Source organism: Homo sapiens, chromosome 2 (assembly GCF_000001405.40).
Source record: "Homo sapiens chromosome 2, GRCh38.p14 Primary Assembly".
Taxonomy (NCBI): Eukaryota; Metazoa; Chordata; class Mammalia; order Primates; family Hominidae; genus Homo; species Homo sapiens.
Window position 1 is genome coordinate 174,373,561 of NC_000002.12, and position 20,707 is coordinate 174,394,267.

General features: G+C 38.6%; 1 protein-coding gene across 1 annotated transcript in view, besides 1 other annotated feature; it reads right to left on the reverse strand.

Annotated features, from left to right (window-relative positions):
- CIRSR (corepressor of RBPJ and splicing regulator) overlaps nucleotides 1-20,707 on the reverse strand; it is a 47,691-nt gene that overhangs the window by 25,539 nt on the left and 1,445 nt on the right. Inside the window, exons 2-7 of the mRNA NM_004882.4 lie at nucleotides 14,125-14,219; nucleotides 8,144-8,217; nucleotides 7,244-7,254; nucleotides 7,091-7,155; nucleotides 6,642-6,690; nucleotides 5,363-5,480 (exon numbers count right to left, since the gene is read on the reverse strand). Coding sequence (NP_004873.3) covers nucleotides 5,363-5,480; nucleotides 6,642-6,690; nucleotides 7,091-7,155; nucleotides 7,244-7,254; nucleotides 8,144-8,217; nucleotides 14,125-14,219 — 412 coding nt within the window. The remainder of the gene's footprint in view (nucleotides 1-5,362; nucleotides 5,481-6,641; nucleotides 6,691-7,090; nucleotides 7,156-7,243; nucleotides 7,255-8,143; nucleotides 8,218-14,124; nucleotides 14,220-20,707) is intronic.
- Nucleotides 18,500-18,664: a silencer, noted in NCBI's record as "fragment chr2:175256788-175256952 (GRCh37/hg19 assembly coordinates)". NCBI's record gives its function as "represses an EF-1alpha promoter that drives an FKBP-Casp9 reporter gene in an ReSE screen in K562 erythroleukemia cells {active_cell/tissue: K562}" and the evidence as "EXISTENCE:reporter gene assay evidence [ECO:0000049][PMID:32094911]".

The following is a 20,707-nucleotide window of genomic DNA, read 5'->3' on the forward strand; positions in this document are numbered from 1 at the left end:
CATACTATTTTAATTTTTCTGTTTCTTTCCAGTCCTAATTTACATGCCCATAGATTTATATTAGAATCATAGCATAGATTCAATTGTATTCCTTAGTTTACTCAAGATATCAACAGTTGACTTTGCCATTCCCCTAGGGCTGGATATTTAGACTGTTTACAATGGTGAAAAATTAGAAATGTTGAAAATGTCTTCCCTCACCTTAAAAAAAAAAAAAAAAGCTCTTTCAACACATTACCACCTTTCCTTTTCCTCAATACTATCCCCCTGTGTGTGTGTGTGTATGTTTTGCCTGTTTCTCACAAGCAAAACACACACATACACACACACATACACACACACTCTTCCATGGCATTAATTTTGCTTACAATGGTTTCACCAAACTTTCAGATCGTGAACGTCATCTTGGAGAGTAAGATGCTCAGACTTCTCCCTCCTCTCAGGGCTCTTCTACAACAGCCCCTCTGCAACAGGGGCTTGGGAACCAACATTTACACAAAATACTTAAGTGAACCTTTACATTAGGTAAGTTTGAGTAAACACTGGCTACAGCATCAGTGGCCAAGCCCTTTCGGCCAGCTTTTTGAGAGCCATTTAAATCTGTTGCTATCATTTAAAGTCATCCAAGTTAAATCTTCTGTGCTTATGTTTTTCTTTGAATCTTTCTTTTTTGGTCAACCTTTCTTTCTACCTAAGTTTTAATTCTTCAAAGCTCATTTTAGTCCCACCTCCTCTATTAGCTACATAATTTAACACTCAGTTACTCTCTATTAAATAGAGCCTTACGTAATACTGTACTTTGTTTTCCTGACTAGGTTGTAAACTGGGATTACTCTATGTTATTTTGATGTGTCTGATTAGATTGTAAATCAGGGGTTGTGCCTGTATCTTCTATGAGCTTGGGTTCAAAAAAATAAAACTTACTGGCTGATGTGCAAGATGTCAAATACAGAATTGGCAAATACAATTATTTCAAAAAGTAAGCAAAAAACTTCAGTTCTAAGAATTAAGCAAATGCAGGCAGAGAGATGTTAAGCAGCTTGCCTAAAGTTACACAGACACTAAGTAGCAAAGCAGTTAGCTACGTATGGAGCTACAAAGATGCCTGGCTGTAAACCTGGCAGCTGTGTAGCTCCACAGCTCCTCAGTCTGTGTGCTTAACCGCTAAGTACATGGCTTCTCAGAACTGATGGTTTCCTCTATACGAAAGGTTATTCCTTTTGCCTAAGATGCTCAATACTCTTTTCCCATGTCTTGCATGCCAGCATCCTTCCTGTCATTTAGGTCTCAGCTTAACATTGCTTCCTTAGAGGAGCCCTTCCTGATCACTTAATCTAAAGTAATTCCCCATTTAGTTCTTATCACAGTAACCAATTAAACATTCATCACAGCACTTATAAATACCTGAGATTTTCTTATTTATTAGTTTACTGTGTGTCATTCCCAATATAATGAAAGGTTTTGGTATTCTGTTCCTAGAGCCTAGAACAAGGCCTGGCACAGAAAAAGTGCTCCATAAATGATGATTGAATAAATATGTTTATCTTACAAACCACTGATGAACATTTAGGGTTGTTGCCAATCTTTCACTACTATAAATCTTTGAAAATCTGCCTTATCACTTTTTTAAATAAATTACTGGAGGGCAAATTTCTAGGTAAAAAGGTATGCATGTTTTTCAGGCTTTTGATATATATCAGCAAATATATAACCTCTCCAGAAAGGTTGCTCTAATTTATCAAGAGAGGATTAAAATGTTCATTTTGGCTGGGCACGGTATATCACACCTGTAATCCCAGCACTGTGGGAGGCTGAGGTGGGATGATCATTTGAGCTCAGGAGTTTGAGACCAGCCTGGGCAACATGGTGAAACCCCATCTCTACAAAAAGTACAAAAATTAGCTGGGCATGGTGGCTTATGCCTGTGAGTCCCAGCTACTCAGGAGGCTGAGGTGAGGGGATTGCTTGAGCCTGGGAAGCAAAGGTTGCAGTGAGTTGAGACCCGTGTCACTGCCCTCCAGTCTGGGCAACAGGATGACACCGTCTCAAAAAAAACCAAAAAACAAAATAAAATGTTCATTTTACCACACTTGTGCCAATATTGGATGCATACTTTTTAAAAATCTTTACCAAGGTTCGATGGGCAAAAAGGTAACATATTTAGTTTTCATTCCTTTGGTTATTAATGTTGAAAATATTTTCATATGTTTAATGGTCATCTGAATTCCTCCTTTTGTAAACTATCTTTATGTCCTTTGCTCCTTTATGTTTGCGTGTTCATCTTTTTCTTATTGACTTGAAAGAACATTTTTGTTTTTGAGATAGTCTCGCTTTGTCACCTGGGCTGGAGCACAGTGGTGCAAACCTGGCTCACTGCAGCCTCAACCTTCTGGCTCAAACAATCCTCCTGCCTCAGCCTCTCAAGTAGCTGTGACTACAGGTGCAGACCACCAAGCCCAGCTAGAATTTTTTGTATTTTTTGTAGAGATGGGGTTTCATCACGTTGCCCAGGCTGGTCTCAAACTCCTGAGCTCAAGCAATCCTCCTGCCTTGGGCTTTCAACGTGCTGGGATTACAGGCAAGAGCCACCATGCCCAGCCCTGAAAGAACATTTTATATGTTAGGGGTATCCGCCTCATGCAGAGAAACCATACTATTTCCACAAAGGTAATGTTCTCATCTTCTCCCACCCAGGTGCTCAATTCATTTAGATAGAGAAAAAGAATCACTAATATGTAGACTTCTTAAGCCTGGTTACATAAATGTTAAAACTTGATAGGAACCAAATACTTGAGCATTTTTTCTACTTCATTCACTTGATCCTGAAAAAGTTCATTTTACTAAGGAATAGTACCACAGTAAAACCCCACCATAAGAGGGTTCCAAAAATGTCAATTGTATAAATTGAGTGACTGAGTTATTATAAGGTTAATGAATAGAAATGGAGGGCTGGAGGGCCGGGCGCGGTGGCTCACATCTGTAATCCCAGGACTTTGGGAGGCCGAGGCGAGTGGATCATGAGGTCAGGAGATCAAGACCATCCTGGCTAACATGGTGAAACCCTGTCTCTACTAAAAATACAAAAAAATTAGCCAGGCGTGGTGGCAGGCACCTGTAGTCCCAGCTACTCGGGAGGCTGAGGCAGGAGAACGGCATGAACCTGGGAGGCGGAGCTCGCAGTGAGCCAAGATCGTGCCACCACACTCCAGCCTGGGTGGCAAAGCGAGACTCTGTCTCAGGGAAAAAAAAAAAAAAAAAAAGAAAGAAATGGAGGGCTGGAGAAGAGCCAATAACCAGCTTTATTATATCTGAATTCACATAATTATGGGCATGTTTTTTTGAGGTTTTAGTGTTTTCAATACTCTTAAAAACAGGTTAACTATTCAGTTAGCACAAGTTCTTTTGAATGTTAGCAGACTTTCTAATACAGACTCAAAGAAAATCAAGTCTACTGATTATTAAAAGAAAGCACTGAGTCTGGAGTCTATACTACTCAGGATCAGAGTTACACAAGGCTGAGGCATAAAGACAACCACTACTTCTGCCTGTCCCAAGTCAACCCATGAGTCATGCAGTCATAGGGGCACTATAAAGTTCGAGTGAAAGAAAAGATAAGATGCAACCCTTTCCAGAAAACAGGTTATACTTGCAGATATAACAACAAATCCCTGTGACTAAAAAAGAAGTGGTCAGAAATATTTGAGCCAACGGGTATATAACACACACCACTCCATTTTCTTTGGGGCTTTATTTCCTTTGAGGCCTTTCTCCCTTCTTCTACTAGTTAGCTGGGGGCAAGGGAGGAGGAGGCATTAGGTATGTAAGCTTTTAAGGGTACCTGTACTGGGGTATCAGTGGGATGTTCTTTTGTCAGAGATTGCCAGACCTGTTGTGTCACCTGACAATACTGAGCGAATAATTTCCTTCTACTTAAACTGCACAAATAGTTTCCTTCTACTTAAAAGGTGGTTACTGGCCAGGCATGGTGGCTCATGTCTGTAATCCCAGCACTTTGGGAGGCCGAGGCAGGTGGATCAATTTGAGCCCAGGAGTTCAAGACCAGCCTAGGCAACATGGCAAAACCCTATCTCTATTAAAAAATACAAAAACTAGCCAGGCATGGTGGTGTGTGTGTCGGTAGTCTCAGCTAGCTACTCGGGGGGCTGAGGTGGGAAGAGAGCTTGAGCCCGGAAATTGGAGGTTGCAGTGAGCCGAGATTGCGCCACTGCACTCCAGCCTGGGCAACAGAGCCAGACGCCATCTCAAAAAAAAAAAAAAAAAAAAAAACCAAACTTATTCATCAAATTCCTAAACCCCTAATAGGAGAACTGGCACTTTGAACCCTATAGCCTGAATCAGCTTGCTGGAAAGAAGCAGGATCTCTAGCTAGTGATTAGTGGCTGAAGAACGTATGTTGATTGAGGGTAAACCCTGGGCTCAGAATGAGGCAGCAGTGAAAGCCAAAGGAAGTCTAAGGAGGTGCATCACAGGCCTTGGTGGCCTGAGAGGACAGGGCTTCATGCCCAGAGCATCTGCTTCAATAGAGCAGCCCTGCTTTTATATGTTCTGTATACTGAGGTTTCATGTAAGATTTCTTAAAAGAAAAAAAAAAGGTTCTCTAGCTGCTTTAAAAATGCAAAAAATCTCTGAGTTATACTATCACCCTTATTTTAAAATAAGGAGCTGAAGTTCATAAAAGTGAAAGGACTTGCTTAAGGTTACAGGATTAAACAGATTATTTCTATTATGATCTATTACAGGTTAGGGTTGGATTATTGTGCCTGTTTCAATAATATACTAACAAAGCACTAATAAATTTAAGTTAAAACTTCTCAGTTTAATATCTCTTTAGAAAAAGAACCAAAATAATCTAAACCAAATTAGATCAATTTTTCTGAAGTAGACAGTAATATGTAGGACAGTAAGTAACTTTAAGTAAAAAACAATTTTAACATACTCAGCTTTGTTTTTACCTCTGTACTAAAAAGAGATGGCTGCTGAGGCTTTCAGTACAGTCTATTTTTATAATTCAGGATATGAGTATGAGAAATAAGCATTTTTTCCTTCCATTTTTAGGCTACTAGCCTGATAAACTATGTTTAATGTATTTTACTTTAAAACTTAGTTCATAGGGCCTTTGGCTGGAAAAATTAAACTTAATCCTATTACACAGCATTTTAATTCAACATATATGATCAGAGTTTCCCATTAATCATATTTTGGGAATGGTCTTAGTCAAAAACAAACAAACAAGCCCCACACACAAACCCAAATAAAACAATACCCAGAAAGAGTAAAGAAAAATGTTGTTTTATCTTTCCTTGTTTGTCCTCTCCCGAAACAAATCATGTCTAGTGCCTACCTGAGCCATCAGTGGGAACCGAACTTGCATTGATTCCAGAAAGACCAAACAAAGGACATTCTCGATCTGTGTTGACATGACCCCATTTGTGACATTTAATGCACCTCACATTTCGAACCTGAGAAATAATGAATGTGATTTTGGTTACTAAAAAAGTAAGAATCTAACCAATGTTCAAATTCCTATTCCTTGATAGAATTTAAGCTAAATTACATTTTTAAAAGATCTCCAGGGAAAAAGACTCCAAACTATGTTTGGTAATTTAATACAAAGACTAAAATCTTTCACTATAAATTTTGCCTAGAAACTAAGCTGAATCCCATTTCTTTTTGCCTCTCACTTGGTGGCAATATAATGTCATCCAAAAAGAAATGGTAAAATACCAAAAAGAATTAGGGCGTTATGTGAAGAATTTAAGCTTAAATTCTCTCATTTTAATAAGTAAACCTTTAAAGTTTCAAATTTCAAAACCTGGAGCTGGTAAACATTTTCTGTAAAGGTCCAAATGTAGTCAATATTTTAGGCTTTTTGGGACAGATGTTGTCTATTCTAACGACTCAACTCTGCTGCTGCAGTGGGAAAGCAGCCACAGCCAATAAGTAAATGAATAGGCAAAGCGGTGTTCCAATAAAACTTTCTTTACAAGGATTTGCCCTCTGATGATAGTCTGTCCCGATTCTAAACCAATAATAGATTTAAATCTTTTCTTGACCTTGAGCTGATTCTCCAAATTTTTTGAAAACTGCAGAGACCAATATCATTATAGCTCTCACTATAAAAGTTTGATTCCTGTCTTTTTTTTTTTTTTTTTTTTTTTTTGAGATGGAGTCTCGCTCTATTGCCCAGGCTGGAGTGCAATGGTGCAGTCTCGGCTCACTGCAACCTCCACCTCCTGGGTTCCAGCGATTCTCCTGCCTCAGCCTCCTGAGTAGCTGGGATTACAGGCGCCTGCCACCATGGCTAGCTAATTTTTTGCATTTTTAGTAGAGACAGGGTTTCACCATGTCGGCCTGGCTGGTCTCGAACTCCTGACCTTGTGATCCGCCCGCCTCGGCCTCCCAAAGCGCTGAAATTACAGGCATGAGCCACCACACCCAGCCTGATTTCTGTCTTTTATCAGCCTACTACATTTTATGTTTTCTCCTCTATTCCTTATATTATCTGATACAAATAAAAACCATAGTGCCCCTTTTCAGCTTAAACACCTTTTAGACAACAATATAAAGATACATTTATTAAATAAAAATTATTCTTACAGAGTAAAATATGTGTCACTTGCCTGAATACCAAAGGGCTGATCTCTGATGTTCATGTCATCTTTGGCATATCTATTAAATAGAGGAAATGTACAAACACAATATTAAGAATAATTTAAAAAATTAAACAGCAGTTAATCAGAAAAATAGTTTTACAGTTCTAAGAACATTATGAAATATATTACTTCAGTAAGAATACAGAACTATAAAATCTATCTAGTATTTCCAAACACCATTTAGTTATTATGTGTCTAGTCTGATAATTTGTGATATTAAAAAAATGAAAAAGTATATAAAACAAAAGACTATGAGCAAGCAGATTAGTTGAATAAGACAGCTAATTAAAATCATTAAAGATAACTTTTCACATCAGTTGCCTCCTCTAATGATTGAAAAAGCAACATAAGATGGGATATCAGTAAATGTAAACTTAATGATACATATCTTGTCTTAAAAGTAAACCAGTCCTTACTTTTCTCGTGGGGCTCCTTTCTGCCATTCAAATTTGTATTCGGTCTCTCCTTCTGTTTCTTCTTTCTAAAAACATTCATTGAAAATTCTTTTAATTTTTCCATATAATACAATCAACTGCAAGTAAATTCAGACATAGAAAATAGTACTTTACCTCTTTGTTTTCTTGATTGCATATCAAAAATATGGAAGAAAAAAGGTATGACAAGTTAAAAACTTCAATATAAAAATCTACTGTATACACTATGATATCATGTTATTTAATTGTCACTTGTAAGAATTCATTGGTTTGACTTTTTTTCTTCTTTCACATGATAAAAATTCAGACTATTGCAGGACAAAATACAAAATTAAAATTAATAAGTATGTTAATTCACAGTTTTTAAACTTTTCACTGTTCATTGACAGTGAATATTATGTTTTTTATTTACAAATGCATTAAATATTTAGTAAGAAGGACTAAAGATACATATGCAAATTATTAAAGAATAAGTGTACTTTGGACATGAAAGTTTCTTCCTTCTCAAAGGGCACATTATGAAATATTATCAGATTAGAAAGATATTTTTTAGTATTTATTCTGTTGTATGATTATAGTTTTTATTATCTTCACAGGATAACAGCAATTTTAAAAGATGGAGAGCAACTTTAAAAAAATATCTGTCATAGTACTTTTCCATGTTTAGCTGCAAACACATCAAAGACTTAAAAGAAAAGGAAGGAGGCCAGGTGCGGTGGCTCACGCTTGTAATCCCAGCACTTTGGGAGGCCGAGGTAGGTGGATCACGAGGTCAGGAGTTCAAGACCAGCCTGGCCAACATGGTGAAACTCTGTCTCTATTAAAGATACAAAAATTAGCCAGGCGTGGTGGCGTGCTCCTGTAATCCCAACTACTCGGGAGGCTGAGGCAGGAGAATTGCTCCAACTCAGGAGGTGGATGGAGGTTGTAGTGTGCTGAGATGGCACCACTGCACTCCAGCCTGGACGACAGGGCAAGACTGTGCCTCAGAAAAAAAAAAAAGAAAGAAAAAAAGAAACGGAAGAAGATAAGTACCTTTTTTAGCTCCTGGTGGGGCTTCATACATGAAATTAAGGCCATTCTTTACACGTTCATCTCCCATAAGCAATCTAAGTGAAACAAGACAAAGTTAACGATTTTATGTAGGACAAAAAAAAAAATTATAGAATAATCCACTCCCCACCAAAAAGCCTAAGGGAATTAAGATAAAATATTTTTGTTAGAAACAGAGTTCTAAAACTTTACTCCACTAACTAGATTACATCTGAATGGAAATTAAACAGTGCTGTCTCTTTAGTAACTAGTTATAAGCTCTGAGACTTTCTTACTACCTGAGAGATCCTACCCATCCTAACAAAAAAGGGGAAAAATAACATGGTCATTTTTCTTACAGGATTTTCTTAAACCCTGAAATGCTGTGGAAATTATGACAACTTTGAAATCCCATATGCCATCACAAATTTACAATTAAGTTAAATAGTGCCAACACTTTTTCTTGATTGTAAGGGATCAAACGGTTTTGTTTTTTCCCACCAAAAAAAGAAAAGGCAAAGGAATCAGTTTTGGAAAAAATAAGTCTCTCAGGGATTTCTTTAGGAAGTCAAATCCAATCAGGGCTTGTAAGAGTCACAGTAAATGAGAAAATAAAATTCTTTCGTGAGGCCAGTGAAAAAAGAATAAAAGTCTGCAGCTGGGCACAGTGGCTCACACCTGTAATCCCAGCACGCTGGGAGGCCAAAGCAAGTAGATCACCTGAGGTCAGGAGTTTGAGACCAGCCTGGTCAACATGCAGAAACCCCGTCTCTACCAAAAATACAAAAATTAGCCAGGCGTAGTGCTGCGTGCCTGTAATCCCAGCTACTCGGGAGGCTGAGGCAGGAGAATCACTTGAATGTGGGAGGCGGAGGTTGCAGTGAGCCGAGATCGTGCCACTGGACTCCAGCCTGGGCGACAGAGCCAGGCTCTGTCTCAAAAACAACAATAGCAAAAAAGTCTACACATGCCAAGTAGTATGATGGACTCAGTGTCTGGTGCATGACAAAAATCACATTCTTTATAGTTCTGTTTTAACACTCAAAGTTCCCTGTTTGAGCTCTGTTTAAAAAAAGATACACTAGGCTTTTTAGAAAAAAAAAGCTCTGTAACAAATGGAATGACTGGTTCAGTCAAAGTTTTAATTCATAAGATCCAAGTAAAAATAATAAAGAAGGAGGCTAAAGAGTGAATATAATTTCTCCTTATATTTGGAAAAGACAATCACAAAGGATATATGACATGAGTATAATTCCTCTCCTTATATCCACTGGATTCTATAAAGACCTGTAAAAAAGAAGCAAAAGGCCACAGGGATCTACATCCAATATATGTAGATATAAATAGAGTGATATTCAGCAATAAAAGGGACTGAAGTACTAGTATATGCAATACCGTGGGTCAACTTCAAAAGCATTATGCTATGTGAAAGAAGCCAGTCACAAAAGACCACATGACATATGATCTAATTTATAGGTCATGTCCAGAATAGGTAAATCTATAGAGACAGCAAGTAAATTAGTGGCTGCTCAGTGCTGAGAGGTAGAAGGAGAAAAAGGCAGGGGAATGAGAAGTGACTGCTAATGGGTAGAAGATTTCTTTTTTGGATAATGCAAATGTTCTGAAATTAGATTACAGTGATGGCTCCAAAAGTCTAAATATACTTAAAAACAACAAACACTTTAAACAGGTGTATAAGTTACATTTTAAATTCACATCATTAAAAATATCAAAATCAGCTGGGCACGGGGGCTCACATCTGTAATCCCAGCACTTTGGGAGGCTGAGGCGGGTGGATCACCTCAGGTCAGGAGTTCGAGACCAGCTTGGCCAACATGGTGAAACTCCGTCTCTACTAAAAATACAAAAATTAGCCGGGCGTGGTGGCAGGCACCTGTAGTCCCAGCTATTTGGGAGGCTGAGGCACAAAAATCGCTTGAACCTCGCAGGCAGAGGTTGGAGTGAGCCGAGATCGCACCACTGCACTCCAGGCTGGGTGATAGAGTGAGACTCCGTCTCAAAAAAAAAAAAAAAAAAAAATCAAAATCAAATACACTGAAAGCCAAGCTCGGTATCACTAGTTATTAGGGAAATGCAAATCAAAATCACAATGAGATATCACCTTGCACCTACTGGCTAGCTATCTTCCAAAAAAAAAAAAAAAAAAGAAAATAACAAATGTTAGAGAGGATATGGAGAAACTGAAACCCAAGTCCATTACTAGTAGGAAATGTAAAATTGTGTAGTCACTGTGACAACCAGTTTCATGGTTCCTCAAAACGCTAAATATAAACCTACCATGTGATCCAGCAATTCCACTCCTAGGTATATACCCAAAGGAACTAAAAACAAGGACTTGACCAGGTATTTCTATGCCAATGTTTATAGCAGCATTATTCACAATAGCCAAAAGGTGGAAGTAACCCAATACTCAAACAGATGGATAAACAAAATGTGGTATGTACATACAAAAGAGAATTATTCAGCCACAAAAAGGAATACAGTGCTGATACATATTACAACATATATGAACCTTGGACACATTATACTAAGTGAAACAAGCCAGACACAAAGGAACAAATATATGATTCAATTTATATGAGGCATTTAGAATAGGCAAATTCATAGACACAGAAAGTAGAATGGTGGTTGCCAGGGGCTGTGGGCCAAGGGGAATAGGGAATTATTCTTTAATGGTTTAATGGTTACAAAGTTTCTGTTTGAGATAACGAAAAAGTTTTGGAAATGATGATGGTTCACCACACTGAATTTAAGGGTACACTGAATTGCACACTTAAAATGGTAAATTTTATGCAATATATATTTTACAAAAAAACCCACAGACAAACCATTTCATTTATATGTGTATTTTTTATTTATTTCTCTTTGTTTTTTGGGGTTTTTTTTAGAGACAAAGTCTCACTATGTTGCCCATGCTGGTCTCAAACTCCTGGACTCAAGCAATCCTCCTGCCACAAAGTGTTGGGATTACAGGCATAAGCCATTGTGCCCAGCCCAATTCATTTATATTGAAAAAAAATAATAATAAAACCCAAACTAAAAGATTGTTTTCCACTTTATGCAAAATTCAAGACATATATAAAATAAAAGGTAAAGGTATAATATTGGTATTTTTGTTTCAACCTCAACTGAAAATTTACATAGATTTTTTTGACATCCCATAAAATCTTTGTATGTATCTAGACAGAATAATAAATGTGATTTTCAGCTGGGCATGGCGGCTCATGCCTGTAATCCCAGCACTTTGGGAGGCCAAGGCGGGAGGATTGCTTGAGTCCAGGAGTTCAAGATCAGACTGATCAACACAGTGAGTGAGAGACCCTGTCTCTACAAAAAAGAAAAAATTAGCTGGGTGTGGTGGTGTGTGCCTGTAGTTCCAGCTATTCAGGAGACCGAAGCAGGAGGATCGCTTGAACCCAGAAGTTTGAGGCTGCAGTGAGACATAATCATACCACTGCACTCCAGCCTGGGCAACAGAGTGAGACCTTCCTCTCAAAAAAAAAAAAAAAAAAAAAATTTTTTTTTTCATCTTAGGAAAAAAGTATAAAGCGACTAAGGTGATTGATATAATAAACATTAAGAAATCTCTAGGACAGTAAAAACAAAAGAGAAACAATAGATTACTGAAGAATGAAATTGGCTATCAAAAACAGTACTTTTGAATGAGGAAGAAATAAACACTTGGCAAATGACCAATTACTCATAAATTTGCATTCAAATGACCAAACCTAGAAGTAATAATATCTTAGTAGCAATGAACACACTTAGTGCTCAGATCGTGGTTTCTAAATATCATTCACCAATGAAAGGAATCTGGGTGCCTAAGAAAACTGGTTGATTCCAATGCTGCAGCAGGGAAAATAAAAGACGAGTCTGACCACCTTGTGGGACCAGAAGCAGCATTAAAAAAACAAAACAAAACAGGGTTGGTGCATGTTAAATGGATATACGAGCCAATCTAACAGAGCTCTCAATGGCCCAAACTGAAACAACTGGAGCAAGAAAATAAGTAACAATAGTATTATATTATAATCCAAAGAATTAAATAAACAGCCATGAGTCCATATTGATAGAAAATTAATAGTAACTAGATAAGGGAAATTCTTCCTTACAGAGGAATTCAAATTAATAAATGTAGAGGGAATGATAGAAATAGAAAATAACCATTAGAACATCACAGAAATATATAATTGATGCAAGCAAGATCTACTGATGAATACCAAAATTAGGCAAAAGTCCAAGGAGAAACAGGGTATTTGCAGGGCTTCAAATATTAATTAAAAGGGAAAATAGTAACTTTTTTTAAAGATAAAGAATAAACATGAACACTGTGATCTGTTTCAAACCTAGTTTTTCACCTCCACTCTGTTTTTATCCCTCTAACTCAACAACTGTTTCCTGAATACCCTCTCCATTTTCCAATATGTTTTTACTATTAATAATATAAAAATAAGGTTTTTGTTGTTGTTGTTTATCTGAGACGGAGTTTCGCTCTTGTTGGCCACGCTGGAGTTCAGTGGCGTGATCTTGGCTTAGCACAACTTCTGCCTCCCAGGTGCAAGCAATTCTCCTGCCTCAGCCTCCTGAGTAGCTGGGATTACAGGCATGCACTACCAGGTTTGGCTAACTTTGTATTTCTTAGTAGAAACGGGGTTTCTCCATGTTGGTCAGGCTGGTCTCGAACTCCCGACTTCAGGTGATCTGCCCGCCTTGGCCTCCCAAAGTGCTGGGATTACAGGCATGAGCCACTGCGCCCGACCAAATTAGGGTTTTTAAACAGTGATGCTATTGACATTTTGAACTAGATAGTTCTTTGTTGTGTGGAGCTGTCCTGTGCATTGTAGGCTGTTTTGCGGCATCCATAGTCTCCACCCACTAGATGTTGATAGCACCCCAGTCCGCAGTTGTGACAATCAAAACAATGTCTCCAAACATTGCCACGTTCCCTGGGCAGGGTGGCAGGGAGGGCGCAAAAAACGGCGCTCAGTTGAGAACCACCTATCTAAATCCTTATCATTCTTCAGAGTTCAGCTTAAATGTCACCTCTTCCATAAAGTCTTCTGTTAACCTAAATGGAATTATTATTTCCTATACTAACATGCTGTATTTTTAAAAGCAGTGTATGTTTTTAATATATCAGTTATTATATTTGGCCTTCAACTATATGTATTTGTATCTCTTACTAGGGTTTCTTAAGGATAAACTACACTTCACACACTTTTATAGGTCCCTATAATACCACTTATTGCCATGCATGGAGTACTCAATAAAAGTTACTAAGATTAAATAAAATTAGTGAGAAAGCTACTTAACTTTTATTTCTTTAACTTTCCTCTCAATATATTATATTTTAAAGAGTAGTAATAGTTTAGTATTAGTTTGCTAAATTCCATATTTTGATTGAAAACTGAACTTCATGGGCAATTTACCAAAACACCACTATTCAGTGGCTTAAGATTAACCAAGAGAAACCAGCTTCAGTGTTAGATCTGCATATACAAACACAATAGTTAAAGGCAGGTACCATGTTAGAAGACACCAATGAAGAACTCTAGCCACGAAACAGCTTTTAACAGAACAATGACATGCGTGTCAAATAAAGTCACTTTACCTTTCCTCTTGAAAGTATGCTGGGTATCTTTTGTGTTAAAGAAATAAGTCTGTAAGAGGTCTCAGCAGTTCAAGTGTAGACATGATTGTTCTTCTAAGCTTTGCCTAATTTGAGACTTGCTCAAAGACTGTATATGAGTCACGTGAATCTATATTTTACGTGAATTATGGGTAAAGCTGGAAAAAGTGGTCATCTACAGGTATGAGAGTAAAAGAGATAGCCCTCACGGAAAGACACGAATCCTATAATTGGGTATTTGATTCCAAAAAACTGACTTAATATATCATTCAGTAGGAAATTATTCCCATGAAATTGATAATTCTAGATATACTGGCATAACAGAATTTCTTACCTATTATCATATGATTCTTGTTCTTTAAGATATTGCTGCATCAATTCTTCTTGTTTCTTCTTATCATATGATATTTTCTGTTCTGCCATCCATACCTAGATTAGTGAAGTAAAAATGCAAATTAAATTGTTGGATTTAAATTAAACAAACTTTGCTTTTCTTGTATAATAAAATATAAAATGCAATTGTTTAAAGCAGGAGTGCCCAATCTTTTGGCTTCCCTGGGCCACAGAAAACACACTAATACACAGTGGAAGAAGAAGAATTGTCTTGGGCCACACAAAATATACTAACGATAGCCAACGAGCTAAAAAAAAGAAAAGGGCAAAAAAATCTCATAATGTTTTAAGAAAGTTTACAAATTTGTGTTGGGCCACATTCAAAGCCGTCCTGGGCCACATGTGACCCACAGGCCAAGAGCTGGATAAACTTGGCTGAAAGTTTACAACATAATCCAATTTGGCCGCAATTACATCATTACAAATTAACACCTGAAAAATCTGAAGTGTCTTGATACGAGTTCTTTTTATTTTTGAGACGAAGTCTGGCTATCACCCAGACTGGAGTGCAATGGCATGATCTTGGCTCACTGCAACCTCTTCCTCCCAGGTTGAAGTGATTTTCCTGCCTCAGCCTCCGGAGTAGCTGGGATTACAGGACCCTGCCACCACACCAAACTAATTTTTTTGTATTTTTAGTAGAGAAGGGGTTTCGCTATGTTGGCCAGGCTGGTCTTGAACTCCTGACCTCAGGCAATCCGCCTGCCTCAGCCTCCCCAAGTGCTGGGATTACAGGCGTAAGCCACTGTGCCCAGTCCACAGAATGCTTTATAGCAAGTTTGGGTTTTTTCAAAGCTGTATTTATAGTTTAAATTATATTAACTATATTCATAGGTAGTCAATGTTATACATTTCTTATATATCCTTCCAAGATGTTCTAATATATATATATATGCAAAAGAACATATACCACATTCTTCTTATATAAATGGTAACATATTTTACGCAAACACACACACGCACACAAAATATATATAAAATAAAATTATATATCATGGAGATCTGATATGGTTTGGCTGTGTCCCCACACAAATCTCATCTTGAATCATAGTTCCCATAATCCCCATGTGTCATGGGAGGGACCCGGTGGGATGTAATTGAATCATGGGGGCGGTTACACTTCATGCTGTTCTCATGACAGTGGGTGAGTTCTCACAAGATCTGATGGTTTTATAAGGGGTTTTTCCTCTTTTGCTCAGCACTTCTCCTCACTGCTACCATGTGAGGAAGGACATGTTTGCTTCCCCTTCTGCCATGATTGTAAGTTTCCTGTCAATTAAACCTCTTGCCTTTATAAATTACTCAGTCTTGGTCATTTCTTCATAGCAGCGTGAGAATAGACTAATATAGTAAATTGGTATAGGTAGAATGGAGGGCTGCTAAAAGGATACCCGAAAATGTGGAAGTGACTTTAGAACTGGGTAACAGGTGGAGGTTGGAACAGGAAAATGTGGGAAACTCTGGAACTTCCTAGAGAATTGGAGTGCTCAGAAAACAGGAAGATGTGGGAAAGTATGGAACTTCCTAGAGACTTGTTGAATGGCTTTAACCAAAATGCTGATAGTAATATGGACAATGAAGTCCAGGATGAGGTGGTCTCAGATGGAGATGGGAAACCTTTTGGGAAGTGGAGTAAAAGTCTCTCTTGCTAGGCAAAGAAACTGGTGGCATTTTGCCTCTGCCCCAGAGATCTGTGGAACTTTGAACTTGAGAGAGATGACTTAAGGTATCCGGTAGAAGAAATTTCTAAGCAGTAAAGCATTCAAGAGGAAGCACAGCATAAAATTCTGGAAATTCTGCAGCCTGACAATGGAATAGAGAAGAAAACCCTATTTTCTGGGGAGAAATTCAAGCCGGCTGCAGAAATTTGCATAAATAATGAGAAGTCGAATGTTAATCACCAAGACAAGGGAAAATGTCTCCAGGGTATGTCAGAGACCTTCACAGCAGCCCCTCCCATCATAGGCCTGGAGGCCTAGGAGAAGGAAAAAAGTGGTTTCCTGGGCCGGGTCCAGCCTCTCAACTGCTGGGTACAACCTTTGGTCTTCGTGCCCTGCATTCCAGCCACTCCAGCTATGGCCACTGCTTCAGAGAATGCAAGCCCCAAACCTTGGCAGCTTCCATGTGATGTTGGGCCTACACGTGCGCAGAAGGCAAGAACTGAGGTTTGGGAACCTCTGCCTAGATTTCAGAAGATGTATGGAAACACCTGGATGTTCAGGCAGATGTTTGCTGCAGGGGTGGAACCCTCTTGGAGAACCTCTACTAGGGCAGTGCGGAAGGGAAATGTGGGGTCGGAGCCCCCACACAGAGTCCCTACTGGGGTACTGCCTAGTGGAGCTGCGAGAAGAGGGCCTCTGTCCTCCAGACCCCAGTATAGTAGATCCACCAACTTGTACCATGTGCCTGGAAAAGCCACAGACACTCAACACCAGCCCATGAAAGCATCCAGGAGAGGGGTTATACCCTGCAAAGCCACAGGGGCAGAGCTGCCCAAGGCTTTGGGAGCCTACCTCTTGCATCAGCACACCCTGGATATGAGACATGAAGTCAAAGGAGATCCTTTTGGCACTTTAAGGTTTAATGACTGCCCTATTGGATTTTGGACTTGCATGGGGCCTGTAGCCCCTTTGTTTTGTCCAAATTGTCCCATTGGGGATGGGTGTATTTACCCAATGCCTGTACTCCTGTTGTATCCAGGAAGTCATTAACTTGCTTTTGATTTTACAGGCTCATAGGTGGAAGGGACTTGCCTTGTCTTACATGAGACTTTGGACTTAGACATTTGAGTTAATGCTGGAATGAGTTAAGACTTTGGTTGTTAAGGGCAGGATTGTGTTTTGAAATGTGAGGACATGAGATCTGGAAGGGGCTGGGGTGGAATGGTATGGTTTGGCTGTGTCCCCACCCAATCTCATCTTGAATTGTAGTTCCCATAATCCCCGCGTATCGTGGGAGGAACCCGATGGGAGGTAACTGAATAAAAGGGGCTGTTACCTCCATGGTGTTTTCGTGATAGTGAGTGAGTTCTCAGGAAATTTGATGGATAAAACCATCAGAAAAGGAGCTTTTCCTCTTTTGCTCGGCATTTCTCCTTGCTGTCACCATGTGAAGAAAGACGTGTTTGCTTCCCCTTCTGCCATGATTTTAAGTTTCCTGAGGCCTCCCCAGCCCTGCAGAACTGCAAGTCAATTAAAATTCTTTCCTTATAAATTACCCAGTCTCAGGTATTTCTTCATAGCAGCATGAGAACAGACTAATACTAATACAAGACTAATATGGATCAGTAAACAAACACTTTCTTCTTTTGGGTGGTAAAGTTGCATATTGTGGGACTATACCATAATTTATAATTTATTTATCTCATACTGTATAAATGGGCACTTAAGAAATTTCCAGTATTTTGCTATTAAAAATTTTGCTGCAAGAACTCAATACACAGGTAATTTCACACACATTTGACAGGGTTTTGAAAAGGATCAAGGCATGGCCAAGGAAAAAAACAGGGCAAGATATAACTGGCAGAGAGAATGACTCAGGCAAAGGCCCAGAGATATAAAATAGAACGTAAGTAGTTCAATATTACTAACATATAAAATCTTAGGTTGGGCTGAGGTGGGCAGATCACCTTAAGTCAGGAGTCTGAGACCAGCCTGGCCAACATGGTGAAACTCCATCTCTACTAAAAATACAAAAATTAGCCAGGCGTGGTGGTGTGTATCTGTAATCCCAGCTACTCGGAAAGCTGAGGCAGGAGAATCACCTAAGCCTGGGAGGTAGAGGCTTCAGTGAGCTGAGACTGCATCACTGCACTCTAGCCTGGGCAACAGAGTGAGCCTCCATCTCAAAAAATAAATAAATAAATAAATCTGAGGTGGGAGAATAGTAGGAGGGGAGAAGGAGAAAAACGATGGAGTGAGATTACTTGGACTCAATCCTGTAATATTTTAATAACAGGCTGAAAGAGATCAGATTTGTGCTTAAAAAAAGACAATTCTATCGAAATAACTTACATTCATACAATGGAATATTATTTAGCAATAAAAAGGAAAAAGTACCAATACATGCCATACCATGGATAAACTTCAAAAACATTATGGTGAGAGTAGCCAGTCAAAAAAGACCACAGATTGCATGATTCCATTTAAATGAATTTCCAGAATAGGCAAATCCACTAACAGAAAGTAGATTAGTGCTTGCCTAGGGCTGGAGAGAGGGAGAAGAGTTAAGGAAAAATGGGAGTGACTAACAGGTATGCAGGTTTCTTTTTTTTTGAGTCAGTGTCTCACTGTCACCCAGGCTGGAGTGCAGTGGCGCAATCTTGGCTCACTGCAATCTCCGCCTCCCGGGTTCATGCGATTCTCCCACCTCAGCCTCCCAAGTAGCTGGGATTACAAGCGCCCGCCACCACACCCAGCTAATTTTTGTACTTTTAGTAGAGACAGGGTTTCACCATGTTGGCCAGGCTGTCTTGAATTCCTGACCTCGGGTGATCCACCCACCTCAGCCACCCAAAGTGCAGAGATTACAGGTGTGAGCCACCATGCCCAGCGGGGGTTTCTTTTTGGGGTGATGACAAAGTTCTAAAATTGTTTGTGGTAATGATTACTTAACTCCATGAATACATTTTAAAAACCACTAAATTGTACATTTTACATGGGTGTTTGTATGATATGTAAATTTATCTCAGCAGAGCTGTTAAAATGAAAAATGACTATTCTGATGGCTGTGTAGTGAATGGATTTGAGAGGACTCAAGATTGGAGGCAGTAGAACCACTTAGGAAATGCAACAATATAGGTGAAAGATGATGAGGGTCTGAATTAAGACACAAGCAGCAGTGACAGAAAGGAAAGATGGATTCAAGAGATATTTGGAAGGTAAGACCAATAGCATTCAGTGATTGACTAGATAAAGGAGTGATGGGAAAAGGGATGAATCCTGAGCTTCTGGTTTGGGCAACAGGATGAGGGACTGTTTTACTATCTATATTTCTACCCATATGAGATAGCAAGTATAAAAAGGGCTGATTTGGGGTAAAAAACTTTTATATCAGATATGTTGAGTTTGAGGTGCCTATAGGACATCAAGATGCAAATGTCTAGTAGATAGCTGTCTTGAGCCACATCAAAGTTAAGAAGAGAAAACTGGGACTGCAGATTTGAGTCATGAGTAAACAGGCTAGTTAAAACAGGCTAGTTGGATGTGATTGCTTGGGGCAAGCATACTAAGTAAGCAAGAAGTGGGCCAAGGATGAAACTCTGGGGAACACTTATATTTTAGGAGCAGGCTAAGAATAAAGATCCAGTGAAGTTGATGGGAAAAGAACAGTCTAATAAGAGAGCTGGAAAACTAGAAGAGAGTAGTTATTACAGCTAAGGGAACAGAGAGTTTCACAAAAAAGGGAGTTTACAGTGATGCAATTGTCAATAGCCAGTTTATGAACTGTTTGCCAGTCCACAAGAAGACTAAAGAGCTTGGACCACAATGTAAATTAACTGCTTCCTTCATTAACAAAATCAAGAAAAAAAAAGAACAGCTGAACAAAACAGTGTATCCTGTGACATAAATGATTGAGGCAGCGCATAACAATACACAACAGAGTGACCAGCAGATATACAGCATTCACTCTTATTTTTGGTGAACAAATGAGACCTTAAAACCTACTGGACTTTTTATAAGCTTGGGAAACTGAAAACAAACAAGGAAAAAAAGAACCTACTGGACTTTAATAAACCCAACATGCCTAATTTTACAATTAGAATTTTCTTTCTTTCTTTTTAAATATAGATGGGGTCTCACTTTGTTGCCTATGCTGGTCTTGAATTCCTGGCCTCTCAAAGTGCTGGAATTATAGGTATGAGCCACCATACCTGGCCCTTAAAATTTTCATGGTGGAACTCTTTTGCACTCTTTGATCAAACTCCTTTGTTTCTTCCACTTCTATTAAAAAAAAAAAAAAACTTTACTGGAGTATGACATATAAAAAGCTGTACATATTTAATGTATACAACCTGAGTTTGGTGACAAGTATATCCCTGTGAAACCATCATCACAATCTACACTATAAACATATCCATCACCTCCAAAAGTTTCCTCCTACCCTAATAAATTTTTCTATTTATCTTCATTTAATATAGTTCCTTTATCCTTAGTTAATAAAGAATGCTAGAGGTCACCCCCTCTCCCCATAAAGTGTTAACTATCTAGAAAGGTCTGCTAATCAAAAACATTTCATTCTTCTCCTCTATCCTGGGAAAAGTATAAAACAGATCAAAGAGGCCAACAATATTTGGTACATTTTACATAACACTTTACACAGATGAGAAGAATGTAGGTTCTAAGCCTATAACTGCTTTACTGAATTTCTCATAGCGGACTTGCAAAAGTTATTCTCTGTGGATTTCTTTTTTCTTGTAAGAAAGCTGATACATTGAAATTTATAAAGCGAAATGTCAAAAGTTCCAGTAAAAAATTATGATTTCTCAGGTATATTTGTCTCTAAATATAAACAGCAAATAAGCA